Raw genomic sequence first — 16845 nt, 5'->3', positions numbered from 1 at the left:
CCAACATGGTGAGACCTCGTCTCTACTAAAAATACAAAAATTAGCCAGGCATGGTGGCAGGCACCTGTAATCCTAGCTACTTGGGAGGCTGAGGTAGGAGAACTGCTGGAACCCAGGAGGCAAAGGCTGCAGTGAGCCGAGATCGCGCAACTGCATTCCAGCCTGGGTGACAGTGTGAGATTTCATCTCAAAAAAAAAAAAAAAAAAATCCAGAGAACCACCTGCTGAGAGGCAAAAAGGGAGCTTGCTGTTCCTGAATATAAGGGTGTAGTTTATCAGAGGAAGGGGAGAAGAGAGGGGAATCATCCATCCATCTATCCATCCATCTATCCATCATTCCATTTAACAAGAAATTGTTGATCACCTACTTGCAATCAGCCATGAGCTGGGAAAGCAAACACAAATAACACCAGTCCCATCTTGGAAGAATTTCAGTATCTACTGTGGAAAAGAGACACGGAAACAAATACTTGCTATACAGAATTTACCAAGTGTCATGGTAAGAGTGCTGCTAGGAACTAGGTTGGCAAAGAGAAGGAGATATCAAACAGTGGTTGGCTGTTTCTGGAAAAGCTTCATAGAGGAGAAAACCCCTGGTGAATTGCATTCTGAAGAAAGATTCTGCTAAATAGATAAGGGGAAATAGAACATTCCTAGCAGAGAGAATAGCATGTGTGAGATGCATATAAGGACAACCAATACAGGGCACTCAAAGACATGGTCAGTGTGGCTTTGGCTCAGAGACTGTGTGCATACTGGGAATAACGAGAGATAAGGTGGAGGGAGGCGAGGGAACCAGAAGACCAAGACCTTCGGATTTTGTGCCTGAGGCAAAGGTGACCCATTGGAGGCTTTTAAGTCAGGATCAGGGATATAATTAGATTTGCCTTTGGAAAGATCTGGTGGATTGTGGAGGCTAGATCTGGGACCAAAACTAAGGGAGGGATTTGTGTTTGGAGACTTATAATAATTCAAATGATAAATGAGGGGCTGAATTCAGAGAACACCAGAGGAGTGGACAGGAGAGCTTGTATCTGGAGGTCTTTAGGCTAACAGCTGGGTAAATAGCGCTGTTATTAGCCAGATTACGGAGCACAGCAGCAAGAGTGAAGGATGAGGCATTGGCACCACAGGGACAGCCACGCAGGAGGAGAATCACAAGCCTGTCTTGCTTGGGCAACTGATTAGATGTTGGCACCATTAAATAACAAGAACAAGGAGCAGGCTGTGAAACTCACAATAGACTGGTGAAATAATTATGTCACGTATTAATGTCACTGCACAAATAAAGAAAGGAAAGCATGGGTGTTCTTTAAAGTGACCCACAATGCAGGTATTCCAACTCCTAATCTAGTGCCCTTTCCATTGTGCTGAGCTTTGATTTAATTGTAACTCCTCAGCCATTTGACTCTGTGAATTCCTTGGGCAAGTGGTGGGCCTGTGAGGGCAGCTCTATGTGGCTCATGGAACTAGCTCAGGCCCTGACATCTGAATTTATGCATCATAAATTGCATTCCCTGATAAAACTTACAGACTTGATCAAGTATGTTTTAAAAATTGGCATACAAATAAAATAACAACAGAATGCTTATATATACAACTGATTTATTGAAAAAATTGTTGAATTTCAGTGACTGATCATTAAAAATTGTTTACCAAAAAAGTAATTGAAGGTTGGGCATGGTGGCTCACGCCTATACTCCCAGCACTTTGGGAGGCTGAGGTGGGTGGATCACTTGAGGTCGATAGTTTGAGACCAGCCTGGCCAACATGGCAAAACCTCGTCTCTACTAAAAATACAAAATTGGCTGAGCGTGGTAGTGCACGCTTGTAATCTCAGCTACTTAGGAGGCTGAGGCACAAGAATCGCTTGAACCTGGGAGGTGGAGGTTGCAGTGAGCTGAGATGGTGCCACTGCACTCCAGCCTGGGTAAGAGAGCAAGACACTGTCTCAAAAAAAAAAAAAAAAAAAAGTAATTCCAAAAAATCTTTGTACTCCTCCCCCTTGAGTTTATCAATTTAGAACCAATGAATATTTGTACAGCTATGTGGAATTCTTATTTTTTTAAAGTTTTTCAACAACTACTTAAAATAATTACTAAACTCAGCTAGAATTATAGACTTAATAACCTAAAATTAATTTTAAAATGTTTATAATGCAATATTTAAAAAAAGCAAATTACTATAATTGAGTGATTGTAACCTAATTTACTATACTCTAATTTGATATTAACATAATTTTAAAACATTATTCATGTATATTCTTACACTGCTAATGACAGCTCCACTGCAACTATGAGAGCTGAGAAATTCTTAATTGAAGAAATTTAACTGATCTCAATTAATTAAAAATAAATTTAAATGTCAAAAATAGAAAGTAAATAGAGATGATGTAAGTTTTTAATGTGTGGTCTAAATATTGCCTATGATTAAAAATATGTAATTTGCTACTTCCACTAATAATTTGCCAAGAATTTTAGTTTGATCCAGACCCAAGCCAAAAATGAGAGTGGTACGTTTGCATTAATGTACTAGTTTATGACCAAATACGTAGGTATTTCAAAGATTTATTTTTTATGGGATTCTTTTTGCACGGAGGCATGACTTTCATTGAACAATATTTTTGATATTGGAGAATAACTGGGAATGAAAAATAAAATAATTCAGTATGCTATTATCCATATTTTAACAAGCATCTCCCCCCATCACTTATTCAGTTCTCTGACTGCTTGGGTCGCTAAAGAAATGTTTAATGACATCATAAGGAAGGAGTGACGTCACCCTTTCAATATTATGACTTAAGTGTAGGCTTAAGCAAAAGGAACAGATGGCTGCAAGAGAGAAAAACCCTTGTTTAAATTAGACTAAACCCAGAAGTTGGCTCCGAATTACAAAGTGTAATTAAAACTTTATTTTAGAATGCATTTCACAGTTTATACATCCCAGGAAGAGCTTTTTACCATACGAACTCTTCAGCTACCACATAGCACAAAAGAGGTTGCGTTTTTCATGTAAGGCGATACACGGTTCAGGGAATGACGGTATTGAGGAGAGTGAAGATAAATCTCACAGACCTGGCAATCCTATTTGTTAAAATGTCACATTTCATGGGAATGGTGTCAGAGTTATGAAAAATTGCTTTAGAAAAAAAATTACTCGTGGAAGGCTTTGGTGGGTAGAATGTACTGGATAGAGCACATGGCCAGCGTTTCCCTTTCACCAGGAAGGCAGGTCTGCCCAAAATAGTATAATCTGGAATACTCCACAATTAATTATTAATTATCACCATAACTTTATTGCATTTTATTTGGCACTATTTATGAATATACAGAATTTTGGTGCATTTTACTTTGTCAGATATTTGCCTGGATTTCTTTCTGTTTCCTTTTTTCCTTCTTTCTTTCTCTTCTCCCTCCCTCCCCTTCCTTCCATCCTTTCTGCCTCCCTCCCTCTCCCTTTCCCTTTCTTCCTTCCATACGTTCTGCATGTTGAGAGAAAATACACAGTAAACAATAACTAGGGCAGGGGTGGGGAAATTTTGCATAACACTTTAGGGTTAAAAATAATTTTTCTGGCCGGCTCAGTGGCTCAAGCCGGTAACCCCAGCATTTTGGGAGGCCAAGGCAGGAGGATCACTTGAGGAAGGAGTTCAAAATTAACTTGGGAAACATAGCAAGTCCCTGTCTCTTTTACTCTTAAAAATTTAAAAAAAAAATTGTTTTTAAGAATAAAAGAAACTCAGTGTCATATTCATAGGATTCTAGATGTTACAAACAAATACATGCACATAGCATTCCAATTATTCTCAAACACCCCTGTACTACTTAACGATATCACGATGTTTTGCTCAGTTTCAGTTTGTCAAACATTTGCTTGGAATTGTTTTTGAATGACTTCCCGTTAATTCACGAATATTCAGAGGGATTAAATGTGTGTAAGTTCCAAGGAAACCAAATAATTATTTTTTGTGGTTTTTCACAGAAAACCTTAAGGTTAAAAATCACCATAATTATAATTAAATAATGACTTTGAAGGCAGAGAGTGGGTTGTTCTTCAGGCTACAGCCCAACGTCTGGTATATGGTAATTAGACATGCAAGTATTTGTGGAATGAATGAATGATGTGATATCCCACTCTCTTATTTCATCTAATTAAGAGCATGAAAAACATATCAAAATTATAGCTTTCCAAGAGTTTGGCCAATTTGGCACGAATGATCAGAGGCAAAGGGAATAAAATGTGCTGTCGGCCAGTTCCCTAAATGTTTCCCTCTTGTTGTCTTTCAGAAACCCTTAGGTCAATTCCTCTACCTTCCTCAGCTAGGAATTTTCAAAGACAGTGATGCGCTATTTTCCTTCACTTAATTATCATTGTGCCCTTAATCAAACTCTAGGCCCTGGATTTCTATCAAAGCCCTTTGGCTTGTTGAATAGATAACCAAGTAGAAAAAAGATTCAGGCACACAGCACCTGTCTGTTTCCCCTCCAGGGGGCTCAAAAATTAATCAGTAAATAGTTGCTACCCAAATACCTGCCAGCCATGCTGTTTTACTCAGCTTTCATTGGTAAAGAATTTTGTCGTCATAAAAATACCTACAGCTACTCTAATAGTCCATTAAGGATAAAATCTCCTTGAAGATGAATGGCAAAAAGGATATATGTGGGGTGTTGTTTTTTTTAATCGCATCTAGCCTGTATTAGACCGGAGGCCAAGGCAGTGCTATCATTACACGTCACCTGGACACGTGGGTAGAGTTTTAACAGGTAGTAAAATTATAGTAAGTGATTGAAAGGCAGAAAGCCTTCATAGATTAAGACCAAACAGGAACACTTAAGTGCCAGGTGCTCTTTTCCAATAAATGTTGACTTTGGGTGGCTGTAACTATCAAGGGCAGCCCCCTGCAATGTTCCCTAGGGTTAAATTCACAGCAACCAACAGGCCCATGTTTCTTAAAGGGAGCAGATGGTTAGGGGACGGCCTAGACACAGAAGCAGATTTATCTTGTCAAGCTGTTATCTCCTAGTAAATGACCTTAAGCAGGTCACCAACGGTCACATGACAACAATGTAGTTAAGAGGTCTCCTAAGGTGATGGCCATTCATTAACTCTTCCCTCTCAGGGTCCCAAATGCCCCTTTTGGATAGCCATGTAGCAATTTGTTGTTGTTGTTGTCACAATGAGTGTATGTGTGTGTGTGTGTGCACCCATACAAATGCATGAATCCTAATGAAGATTGTATATCTTCAAAAATATTTACCTGCTTCAATGTGATTGGGGGCACACTGTAATATTTTATTTTTGTATACTGAAATGATGGAAATACTACTTTAAAGGGGAAAAATAAACTGATCATGGGTAGGTAAGACTGAGGGTCAGTCCCATTGGAGAGTCCCAGCATTCTGGAGGGGGCTATGAAGCACAGCGACGGCCTGATTATCTTCCAATCACAAGGTAGCCTCAGATCTTTTTTTTTGGTTTTTAATGTCTGAAAAGGCATGATGGGGGAAATGAAATGATTTGCCATTTTGTCTTGGTTTTTATTTTTTGGAGGCCTTGTTTTGGGGATGCAGGTCTGTTTCGTGAGGCTTCTGTGCATTTCGTTGCATGAAATACATGCCCTTTGTGATTTGTCCCCGTTACAGAAAGCTGAAGTCCTTGGCCTTTCAGTACGGCTCAGATCGTATGCACAGCCCTGCAGACCTCAGAGAGTCTGTGAGAGGCTGACCCAGTCAAACTTCAGCATGGCCACTGTCTTGCTGTGAACAGCCACTTCAAAGAGCTAACAATGCCTGCATCTGCCTCCCTGATTATTTTTTTCTGTTACTTTATTCGGTATGTTTTTCCGAATGCACTGCTTTTTCTAAAGCCATGTTCCCTAGCTGCCTCCCTTCTGAAATGCTCATACTTTCATGTATGTCTTTTTCATGCACTGGAACCGTGAATAATCCATCAGATAGGTACAGAATGGATGGCTGCTCTAGCGATGGTCTCAGAATTTTCTAGAATGTTCTGAGTTTGTCTGATGTCAGGTCAACCTTTCCATTCTGTTCTGACCCATTCTAGAGAGATATATTGAAACTGCAGCCAAATGGAAATCTGGTAATGTATCTTTATTGTTTAACAGAAAAAAAATACATATGTGTGTGTATATACATAAATATATACATATGTGTATATATAGGTGTAGTGTATACATATATGTATATCACTAGGCAATAAAGAAAACATTTGCAATTTATATATTGTTTGATTTTATGAGCAGGGAAATACTACTGTGGTAGAAGTAAGGGTTTATTTCACATTTTCCAGTGAAAGCTTGTTTTCTATTTGTGCCAAGCATAATTTTCTAACTTACATACATGTCTAACTGTAAATAGATGGAGATAGAAAGCTTCTTCTTTACGAATCATCTTGAGCCAGTTTCAAGCAGTATGGCAGACTAGATGTTCACAGAAAACCTTTCCAGCAGAATGCATGTAAAATACTACATTATATTGAAGAGAGAGAAAAAAAACACCCTATTTTGAAATGCTTGGTTTAGCTGGTGGGAAAGTAACACTTACTTGCTCGCGGGACAGAGACAACAAGAGAGCTGAGAAAATGAGGAATAAGTTGAGACCTAGAGCTAGCATTTGCCTAAAAGGTATTAATGAACCAAGTAAGACAGAGCTTGGGCTTGAACTGAGTAGGAGATCAGACTGGAGACATATAAAGGGCTACTCCCTTTATATGGAAGGCAACACCCTTGAGGATGAAGTAGGTAAAAACTTGCCCCATATACAGTTTTTGGAGATTACAGATGGTCCCTGGCTAGTTCACCTTAATGCTTTTTGGACTTTACAATGGCGTGAATGCAATACACATTCACTAGAAACCGTACTTCAAGTACCAAGAGAAACATTCCGTTTTCCACTTTCGGTACAGTATTCAATACATTATATGAGCTGTTCAACACCTTATTATAAAATAGGCTTTGTGATAGATGATTCTGCGGAAGTATAGGCTAATGTAAGGGTTCTGAGCATGTTTAAGGTAGACTACGTTAAGCTGTAGTGTTCAGTGGGTTAGGTATATTAAATGCACTTTCAGCTTACAATATTTTTGACTTACAATGGGTTTATTGGAACATAACCCATCTTAAGTCAAGGGGTATCTGTATGTATCTTTCTCAGTCTTGTCTTCTAGTGAAAGGAAGGTAAGTTGAGAAAAAGTCTCCCTTGAGAATCCATAGCCCCATTCCTGCACTTGCTAAGCTGAGGGGTCAGAACTCATAGCACCTGTGTGGGTCTAAGTCTCTCAAGTCTAAAATTTAGTTTAAACAGTCACAAAAAGCTTTATGTGATTCCATCTACATGAGGTACCTAGAGTAGTCAAATTCATAGAGACAGAAAGTAGAATGGCGTTTGTCACAGGCCATGGGGAGTGAATACACTCAACATTACTGAACTGTACATTTCAAAATGTTTAAAAGATGATAAATTTTATGTTATGCACATTTTACCACAATTAAAAAATTTAGTATAAAGTGTCCCACGTAAGTAGTGCCACAACTGCCTACCAGAAATAAAAAATAAATAACCAAAAAAAAAAAACCAGGGGTAAGAGGAAACCAACCTAATACTCATAATAATTTCCAAGATGTCTGATGTTACAACAAAAAATTGTACTCTAAAACATAAGGAAATAACCTCCTATCAATGACAGCCAGAAGAACTAGTAAACTATATCAGAGTAAAACAAAGGCAGTAGAAGTTAGATTTATCAATTACAAGTTATACATTGTATGTTTAATATTTTTTTAAAGGTTGAATCGAAACCATGTTGAAAGGAACATAAATGATCAAAATTAACCAAGCAGATTTGAAAAGTAACCAACTAGAACTTAATAGGTAACAGAAAAACCATGTAGTTCTCAACATTATAAACCAAATATATTGGCTAAGTGACAGATTGATTCCGTTGGAAAGAGAAGTAGTAAATAGGAAGATCAAACTGAAGAAATTATAGCTCAGTGATGCACGTGGATGGAAATATGAAAGAGGTGTTAAGAAATACAGAGTATAGGTAAGAAAGCCCTACATATATCAAATTGGAGTTTGTGATACAGATGATAAATAACATGTGAGTGAAACAGTATTTAAAGAGATAATGGCTGAGGCTTTTCAGAAACAATGAAAGGTACATCCTTACATTCAGGAATCCCAAGGAATGCCAAGCACGCAATTAAAAGAAATTTATGACCAGGTACAATGGCATATGCCTATAGTCCCAGAACTTTGAGAGGCCAAGACGAGTGACTTGCTTGAGCTCAGGAGTTTGAGACCAGCCTCGGCAACAGGGCAAGAACCTATCTCTACAAAAAATATAAAAATTAGCCAGGTGTGGAGGCACATGCCTGTAGTCCCAGCTTCTTGGGAGGCTGAGGTTGGAGGATCACTTGAACTTGGGAGGGTGAGGCTGCAGTGAGCCAAAATCATGCCACTGCACTCCAGCCTGGGCAACAGAGAGACAGACTCTCTCTCTCTCTCTCTCTCTCTCCATATATATATATATATTTAAATTAGTAGAAATGCAGAATACTTGAACATGATAAATGATTATGTTCTAATAGACATATAGAACAATTACACTGTATAATAACTGCAGAATGCAACGCTTTTAAGAATCTAAAACATTTTATAAAATTTAAAAGTATTAGTGTAATACATTTTTGAAGGTATGAGGTACTTCACAATGTTTAAAAAGTATCATCCTTACTCAGTAAATGTGCTACATATATCCCATATCATACAAGGCAACATTATAAAATACATTGTTTTAAATTCAAATTAAGCTGTCCAAGATGTTACACCAATGAGAGTTAGAATTCAAAGTTCTCACTGGGTCCAAAGAGTCTAGTTTTCACAGTCTGATGCATTGTCTCTGTGACCAGTATATAGAAGCATGCCTCTACTTTATCAGTGCAACCAGAAGATTCCTCAAGATAGCCAAGTATGGATCTTGATACCAACCTGGTTGCCAGGAGAATTACCTTTATCCTATTATGCCTCAGTTTCCCCATTAATACTGACTTCTCTGTTCTGCTATAACTACAACTTGTTTATATTTCCTGCACATGATTTCACAGTATTTTTTATTAAGTAAAAGAATTTTTTTTTTCTTGAGACAGGGTCTTGCTCTGTTGCCTAGGCTGGAGTGTAGTGGTCATGGTTCACTGCAGCCTCATAAGGAGAGGCATTTTATCAATACATTTTGCAGGACTGTTAGTTTATGAAATAGCAATCTGTCTGGTCTGATAATCAGGATTTATCAATATGTTAATATGGCTTTACTCCAATAGGCAAGATAGAAGTAACTATAATATATTATTAGTCTCACTGGTGCTGTATTAATTCTATAATAAATTCAACTGAAGGCTAATGAGTAGCCTTAGCAACAGTTAGACTTGTTCATAAAATTAACAGCAGCTGGCATTTCTTCATTTAGTCATTCATTTTACTGTCCCCTATGCATCTAAAATAATATGTAGGGATTAAATGGTGAACCCCAACAAGATAGGTCCATATTCTAACTCTTGGAACCTCTGAAAGTGACATTATTTGGGGAAAAGGTCTGCAGATATAATTAAGTAAATGATCTGAGATGAGATTATTCTGGATTATCTGGACGGGCCATAAATCCAATGGCAACTGTGGTTGTAACAAACAGAGGAGAAGACATAGACAGTGAGGAAAAGGCTATGCGAAGACAGAGGCAAAAACTGTAGTTATGCAGCCACAAACCATGGAACAGCTGGATCTGAGGCTATGGAAGAAGCAAGGAAAGATTCTCCCTGCAGCCTTTGGAGGAAGCGGGGCCCTGACAAAGTTTCATTTCAGACTTCTGGCCTCCAGAACTTTGAGAGACTAAATTTCTGTTGTTTAGGGGCACCCAGTTTGTGATAACTTGTTACAGTAGCAATAGGAAACTAATGCATGATACTACCCAACACATGCTATACTTATTACTATTATTTTTTATAATTGCATTTTCCAAAATTCAGATGATTCAAACCACAAGTGACACAAATGTGAACATTTATATTTGCGGTTTTCTTCTCTGGGTGAAACCATTGACATTCCCTCCCTTTATATGTGTGATAACTTTATTACTCCAACTACTGGTAAACATTGAGCAAGTGGAATTGGCAGCTACTTTGATAGCATCCCATGAGACAAAGAAATGAAGTAGACAGTGACACCTGTTATGAGTTATAAAGGATTGAGTAAATTAAAGGAAATGACTTATGCGAAATATCTTATGTGAAATACCTAGGACACTATCTGACACAGAGGAGGGACACAAAAATGGCAGCATTGACTTTTATTCATGTCAGTTGTGAAACTTTATAAATACTACCTTCCATATAGTTAGTGGTTTTCTCTGCGTGATTAGTATTGCATTGACTGATTACTGTAGATTCTTAATTTGATCATGCATTAATTATATGGCAGTTTGCATCCATTTGTAAGACAGCCTACTTACCTATCCAGGTGTGACATGACTGTTTTGGAGATGTCTGCGCCTGCTTCTTGCAATATTCGGATAATCTGAAATGGTGCCCTGGAGCTCCGTCCAGGATGGATAATAACAGGACAACCAAGCTGAGCCTGGGCATGAGCTGTGGCCTGGAGAACCTTTCTTTCACTCTCAGTCAAAGGCCAGGAGCAACCAATTTCTCCAATAATGCCACACTTGATACTGGTTCCATCAGCTCCATGGAGAATTTCATTCATAAGGACATCGGTAAGCTAAGGAAGAGTGAGAAGGAATATATTTTATAGGTTGTGAAATTTATCAAAATAGATCCACCACAGTATGTGAATGAATTTATTTATTTTGTCATTCATTCTTTTAAAAATGTATTCAGTATTTATCAATTAATATTGGCCAAGGAAAAAGGCATTTTGCTGGCCAAATCAAAAATCAACAAGTTGCACTAAATCCAAGATTCGATAATATCATACCATGATTATTTAACAAGAAATTTATAGCTTTAGGAAGCTGGAGGGGGACAAAGTGACTTAATGAGAGTACATTCAGGATGAAGCAAAAAAAAATCTGTAACTTAACCTGGGGAGCAGCATCTAGAATATAGAAAGACCGCCAATGAATTGAATCTATGTCCCGTGTATCAAGTCATTCTTTTTCTTTCTTCTTTGTTTTTTTTAAAGAAGCAGAGGTCTCACCATGTTACTCAGGCTGGACTTGGAACTCCTGAGATCAAGTGAACCTCCCATTTCAGGCTCCCATGTAGCTAGGACTACACGCTTGCATCACCGCACAAGGCATCAAGAAATGCTTTAATTCTCTCCTATTTATTCCAGTCTTTTATCATAGACAGCATAGAAAATTCACAGCACACTATACTACTATTAGACTTTTGGGTTCATATGTATAGTTACCACTAAAAGTGGTTGGAAGAATATATAATCCTCATCATCAGCATAGTCTTTAAACAACAAAAATACATTAAAAAAATAAAGTCCTGGTTGGAAAATAATGCAGAAAAAATTTTGAAATACAAAATACTCCAGAGAGTAAGTGATCTTTTGCAAAGAATGAGCTGACACCCTATGCCTGTCATGCAGGCAATGGAAGATACATACGAATATATACATATATGTGTAAACATGTATAAATAGATACATGTGTGTTTAGAAAGAGAACACATACACGTGCAAAAAAGGTTTTGCACCTTATTCTTTTTGTCCCTAAACAATTTACTTCCTTCTGCCCATTCTTAAGACCATATTATGACAAAACACAGGGGAATGAATTTTCTTCCACCTCTCCTGTTTTGTGAAAGGAAACTGAAACATATTCACAAATGTGCCAAGTCTTTGACTGCCAAGTTTCACCCTACAGTGAATCTTCATTGCTGGTTATTATAAAATCCAGGGTGAAAAAAAATCGAGGTAGCATAACTTAAGATGGAAAAGTGAGGTTTACAAATAGACTGTGGTGCCAATACTGAGGACAGATACGATACACACAAATCTAACTATTATCACGTTGGATTTTGCAATGACCAGTGCACTAAGATCTCTTTCCTTGACACTTATTATTATTATTTTCTTTTTTCTTTACCACAAGGCTTGCTTGCAAAATTGGCACTTTCTTTATGAAATACAGTGTTACTAACTGGGGCCCCAACTGGCAGATGTCTTTGCTAGCTAGCAAATTTCCGTAGCATGCCCAGCTACCTCTGAACCCAGGGCATTTCCAAGGTTCTGGCTGTTCTGAATTTATGAACAAATACTGTCAAAGAACTTAGGCTTTTTACCTGCTCCACTGACATGGCCCTGGTCTCTGAGGAGTGAGTTGCATCCACATAAAACCCGGCTCCAGATATGATATGGACGCCAGTCTCTTCTGCAAGCCTCTTCAACGTCTGTGTGTCTCGGCTAATCCCAGTGGTTGTGTTTTCCACCAAAGCCCCTCCACCATTAGCTTTAAAATACAACAGTTCTTCCTTTATGGCTTCTGTCTCCTGATTTAATTGAAGGTTTTCTTTATGGGAATAGGCGTTTTTCTGAATCCAATATAAATTTTTCATCACGATAGGTTCTTTGGAAATAGCTTCCTGGCACGGGGGAGGTGGACAGTAACAGCAGTCAAAGGTCATGGCCAGGTGTTCATGGGTCAGGGTACGGCCCAGTTTGCTTGGCTCTACAAGGCCCAAAACGGTTTGGACTTTTCCACTTAAGGAAGACATTTCTGATGGTACCACCAAGAGATGTTCTAAAAAGAGGATTTCTTTTTTCTAAAAACAAACAAACAAACAAACAACTACAATCAGAATATTTAACACACACATAAACTCTTGTCCGTAAGGGGTGGGAGGCTGTGAACATATACCCATGTAAGAAGGCAAATCAATAAAACTAGAGATACGATCTCACAATCCTGCCGACTTCAGAATCTATCCCCACTGCAGATCTAAGTGACGTGCGTGGTGTTAATTGCCTCCCACCCCTTCTACTGGGAGTCCTCTGCCTGAGTTAGTCCTAACCTTATCTACTGGAAATATTCTTTGATATTCAGTTCACTTTTCTTTAACTTAATTGTATCTCTTAATCATAGCTATGCATTCTTGGATAAATCAACAGTAATTGTAATTAAAAAAAAGTATTCAGAATCAATAACTTACATCCAAACTAACCATGTATCAGTACTGTTTCATTTGTCACTTTTTAGCTAAATTAAATATCCTGAAGCAACTGATCTTTCCTCCTTTTTTTTCTTTTTGAGGGAGAGTCTTGCTCTGTTGCCCAGGTTAGAGTGCAGTGGTACGATCTCAGCTCACTGCAACTTCCGCCTCCGCCTCCTGGGTTCAAGGGATTTTCCTGCCCCAGCCTCCTGAGTAGCTGGGACTACACGCATGTGTCACCAAGCCTGGCTAATTTTTGCATTTTTAGGAGATGGGGTTTCCCTATGTTGGCCAGGCTGGTCTTGAACTCCTGACCTCAGGTGATCTGCCTGCCTCGGCCTCCCAAAGTGCCTGGATTACAGGTGTGAACCATCACTCGTGGCCACAACTGATCTTTCTACTGTTCCTCCACTACCCAAGCAAACAAATTTCTGTTGAAGGTCCATGATGTGTCAGAAATTAGAGCCATAAAGAAACAAAAGACAAGATCTCTGACTCACACGACTTCATAGAATATGCCCCTCCCCAAAACAACTGAGGAGCACACTCGGTTGAATAATGAAATAACAACAAGAAACGAACCTCTTCAGGTTGAATGCTTGATTGTCTAGGGCACACAGAAACACACTTCAAAAATACTGAAAAGCAAAGATTCTTAGCCATAATGAAAGCGATTGTGATTTATTGAAACTGAAATCGGCTATCTCTAAAAAGAGCAAAGCCCTCTCTATCCTCGATTTGCTTTCATTTGTAGCACAAATTAAGTGTTCACCAATGTCTATCAGTGATACCAAGAACTCCAATTCCAGTACTTTCCTTTAAAAGTACATTTCCTTTTAAAAAATTTGTTTAAATTAAAAATTAAATGGCCAGGTGCAGTGGCTCATGCCTATAATCCCAGCACTTTTGGGAGGCTGAGGTGGGAAGATCACATAAGGCCAGGAGTTTGAGACCAGCCTGGCCAACATGGTGAAAACCCGTCTCTACTAAAAATACAAAAATTTGCCAAGTGTGGTGGAGCGTGCCTGTAATCCTAGCTACTTGGGAGGCTGAGGCAGAAGAATTGCTTGAACCCAGGAGGCGGAGGTTGCAGTGAGCCGAGATCGCGCCACTGCACTCCAGCCTGGGAAACAGAGCGAGATTATGTCTCAAAAAAAAAAATTTTAAGTACATTTCCTAAATGAAGGGTTTATAAAGGAACAAGAGCTACTGAAAATAGTGAGGACAAACTCCTGCATGGCCAAGAGCAAAATCAGGACTCGAGTCCCAGACTCTGGGAACTGAAGAAAAGGAGCATCACGTGTTTCCAAGCTCTCAAACTGTTCCTTCAAATAGTGTTCTGAAGTCATCATTTCCCCCATATCCCTTGAAAGCCTTCTTTGACTTCCATTTTTGTCATCTGTAAATTAAAATAACGAAGCACATTTCATAGACTGTCGTAAAAATAAATTAGATACCACAGGTAAAAATACCTGTAGATGCATTTGGCACGCAGACCATATTCAACAAATAGTAGCTTTGTTTTGCGAATTCTAGGAACTATTCACGTATATCCTAGATTATTTCTTTTCAGAGAAAGTGGCTGATGAGAGGGGAGATGATTTGGGGGAACAAAGGGGAAAATTTGTGAAGGGTATAGTACACACGTAAGACAAGGTGAAAACAACATCAGAGGTCAGAGGGTGACAGAATTGTAGGCCAATTTATAGCAAGCCACTGCAATTATCTGGAACTCAGGTGTTTGCGATATATTGGCTTATAAGGCATAAATGATGGATTTAGACTTTTGGACAGAACTTAGGACTTGTGGCTAACATGGCCATTGATTTTGTTTGATAGTGCCTTTCTGGAAGCCAAACTTCTATCAGCTAGGCAATTCAAATGGTGGCTAAGAGAAAAGCAGGCAGTGTCTCTTCAGAGAATCACCACACAGCTGCCAGGCACTATACAGGGCAATATTTTCCAATGATGATGGATAGGAATTTACTGTTCAGTGTCTTATTCCTTGCTACTGAGAGCAAGGAGTGTGTAGTTCATGCCTTCCGTTGATGAAATCACAGTACCATTAATAATAGATGCAAGCTTCCATATGGGTTAATTTGCCGTTTCTTTCCTTCTGGCTGACCATCTTACAGACGTGTTCCAGAGAGTCACAGAGGGGCAGAAACTGAGCTAAATTGATAAAATGCTACCACTTTTGCTAGAAAAGTACCAAACTGCATATTCAATTGATGCATATTTGAAAGAGCAATGTTGGTACGTTTCAAGCTCACAAGCTGTGAGTCTTTCTGAAAAAAAAATCACTTAAGAAATGTCATCCCTTCTGGGAGATTCCTCTAATGCTCTCAGGCAGAACTGGCTGGCACTTCCTATGATCACACACAATGTAACCTCCACTCAAAGGATAAGAAACGATTAAAGAACAAACTGTAGCCAACATTGCTCTAAGCTGGAATGTCTTTGAGTGGGGTGGAGTGTGTATCTAGAATACACGCTTCCTGTGCAGGGAGGGAGCCCTTTTCCCTCTGCATTCAGCTTGGAGGTTGCTCTCTTCTCAACATACAGGCAAGAGGTTATTCATGGCCTTCCCCCATAGAGAAGAGAGTTCACAGAACAAGGAAGAAGGTAAGGAACGATGAGAGCAGCTATACCCAATGGTGCAAACAGGACTGGTTACCAACAAACAAAGCAGGCTTCTGGCATTTTCCAGAGTATGCCTGAGAGGCTTAAGCATCACTCACATACACCGGCACAGAAGCTAGTGAGAAAGTGGGTAGCCAGAGCTACAAACACATGGGTCAAAAGTTCTGTTGCACTTCAAATGTGAAATTTGAACAATCTGAGGACTGAGGATAGACTGCAATTACTATTACAGCCTAGCCAAGGGGAACAACATTTCTAATTCTGATGCATCTAGAACTGAAAAAGCACAGAGGGTTTAAAGACAAAAAATAAAAGGGATAAGAGAAGAGAATCAGAGGACAGTCCTCCAGCACAGCTGAAAGCCAGAAACGATAAATAGGATTTGTCTTATTTAAAATACGCATGTTTAAAATATGTGTATTCTAAAACCATATGCATAAATCAACTTCTACAAAATACTTAGACAATTCACCTAATTGTTGAAGATTTGGTGTGCAGGACGGTAGTTTGGGGGCAATTTTAGTTTAGTTTCACTGAGAGTTCCTCACAGCTATTTCACCCTGGCCATTATACTTAAGATGATTCCGTCTATGTAGATTGAATATATTTTTCAGTGGCATTTTGAATTGCAGAGGGTAGGACTTTCCAGGACTCTATTTTACCTGTGAATGAGGAGAGCTTCTCTTAACTGAAATACACTGTCCTTATTTCATAAACATAGGCTCTTCTCCCACCCCGGACTCTGTTATACCCAGCCCTTGACCTGGTTGAAGGTACTCGTCTAACAATTTTAAATGCAATGGTCAAATTAGGTCAGGCACAGTGGCTCACACCTGTAATCCCAACACTTTGGGAGGTTGAGGCAGGCAGATCACTTAAGGCCAGGAGTTCGAGACCAGCCTGGCCAGCATGATGAAACCCTGTCTCTATAAAAAATACAAAAATTAGCTGGGCCTGGTGGCACATGTCTGTCATCACTCGGGAGGCTACTCGGGAGGCTGAGGCAGGAG

General features: G+C 39.0%; 1 protein-coding gene across 11 annotated transcripts in view; it reads right to left on the bottom strand.

Annotated features, from left to right (window-relative positions):
• Positions 1 to 16845, bottom strand: part of PTER (phosphotriesterase related) — an 82011-nt gene that overhangs the window by 21879 nt on the left and 43287 nt on the right. For 9 of the 11 annotated variants that reach the window (XR_007062017.1, XR_007062018.1, XM_047426006.1 and 6 more), the window contains 2 exons: positions 12326 to 12805; positions 10525 to 10790 (listed from right to left, as the gene is read on the bottom strand). Coding sequence is in view for 9 of the 11 variants with exons in the window: in XM_047426006.1 (XP_047281962.1) it covers positions 10525 to 10790; positions 12326 to 12805 (746 nt within the window). In the remaining 2 variants the exon portion in view is untranslated. Of the gene's footprint in view, positions 1 to 10524; positions 10791 to 12325; positions 12806 to 13192; positions 14005 to 16845 lie in introns of those variants that run through there. The other 2 variants (XM_017016927.3, NM_001261838.2) reach the window with 2 other exon arrangements.

Source organism: Homo sapiens, chromosome 10, assembly GCF_000001405.40.
Source record: "Homo sapiens chromosome 10, GRCh38.p14 Primary Assembly".
Lineage (NCBI taxonomy): Eukaryota > Metazoa > Chordata > Mammalia > Primates > Hominidae > Homo > Homo sapiens.
The sequence above is the reverse complement of the archived record's forward strand: the minus strand, read 5'-3'. Positions and strand labels throughout refer to the sequence as shown.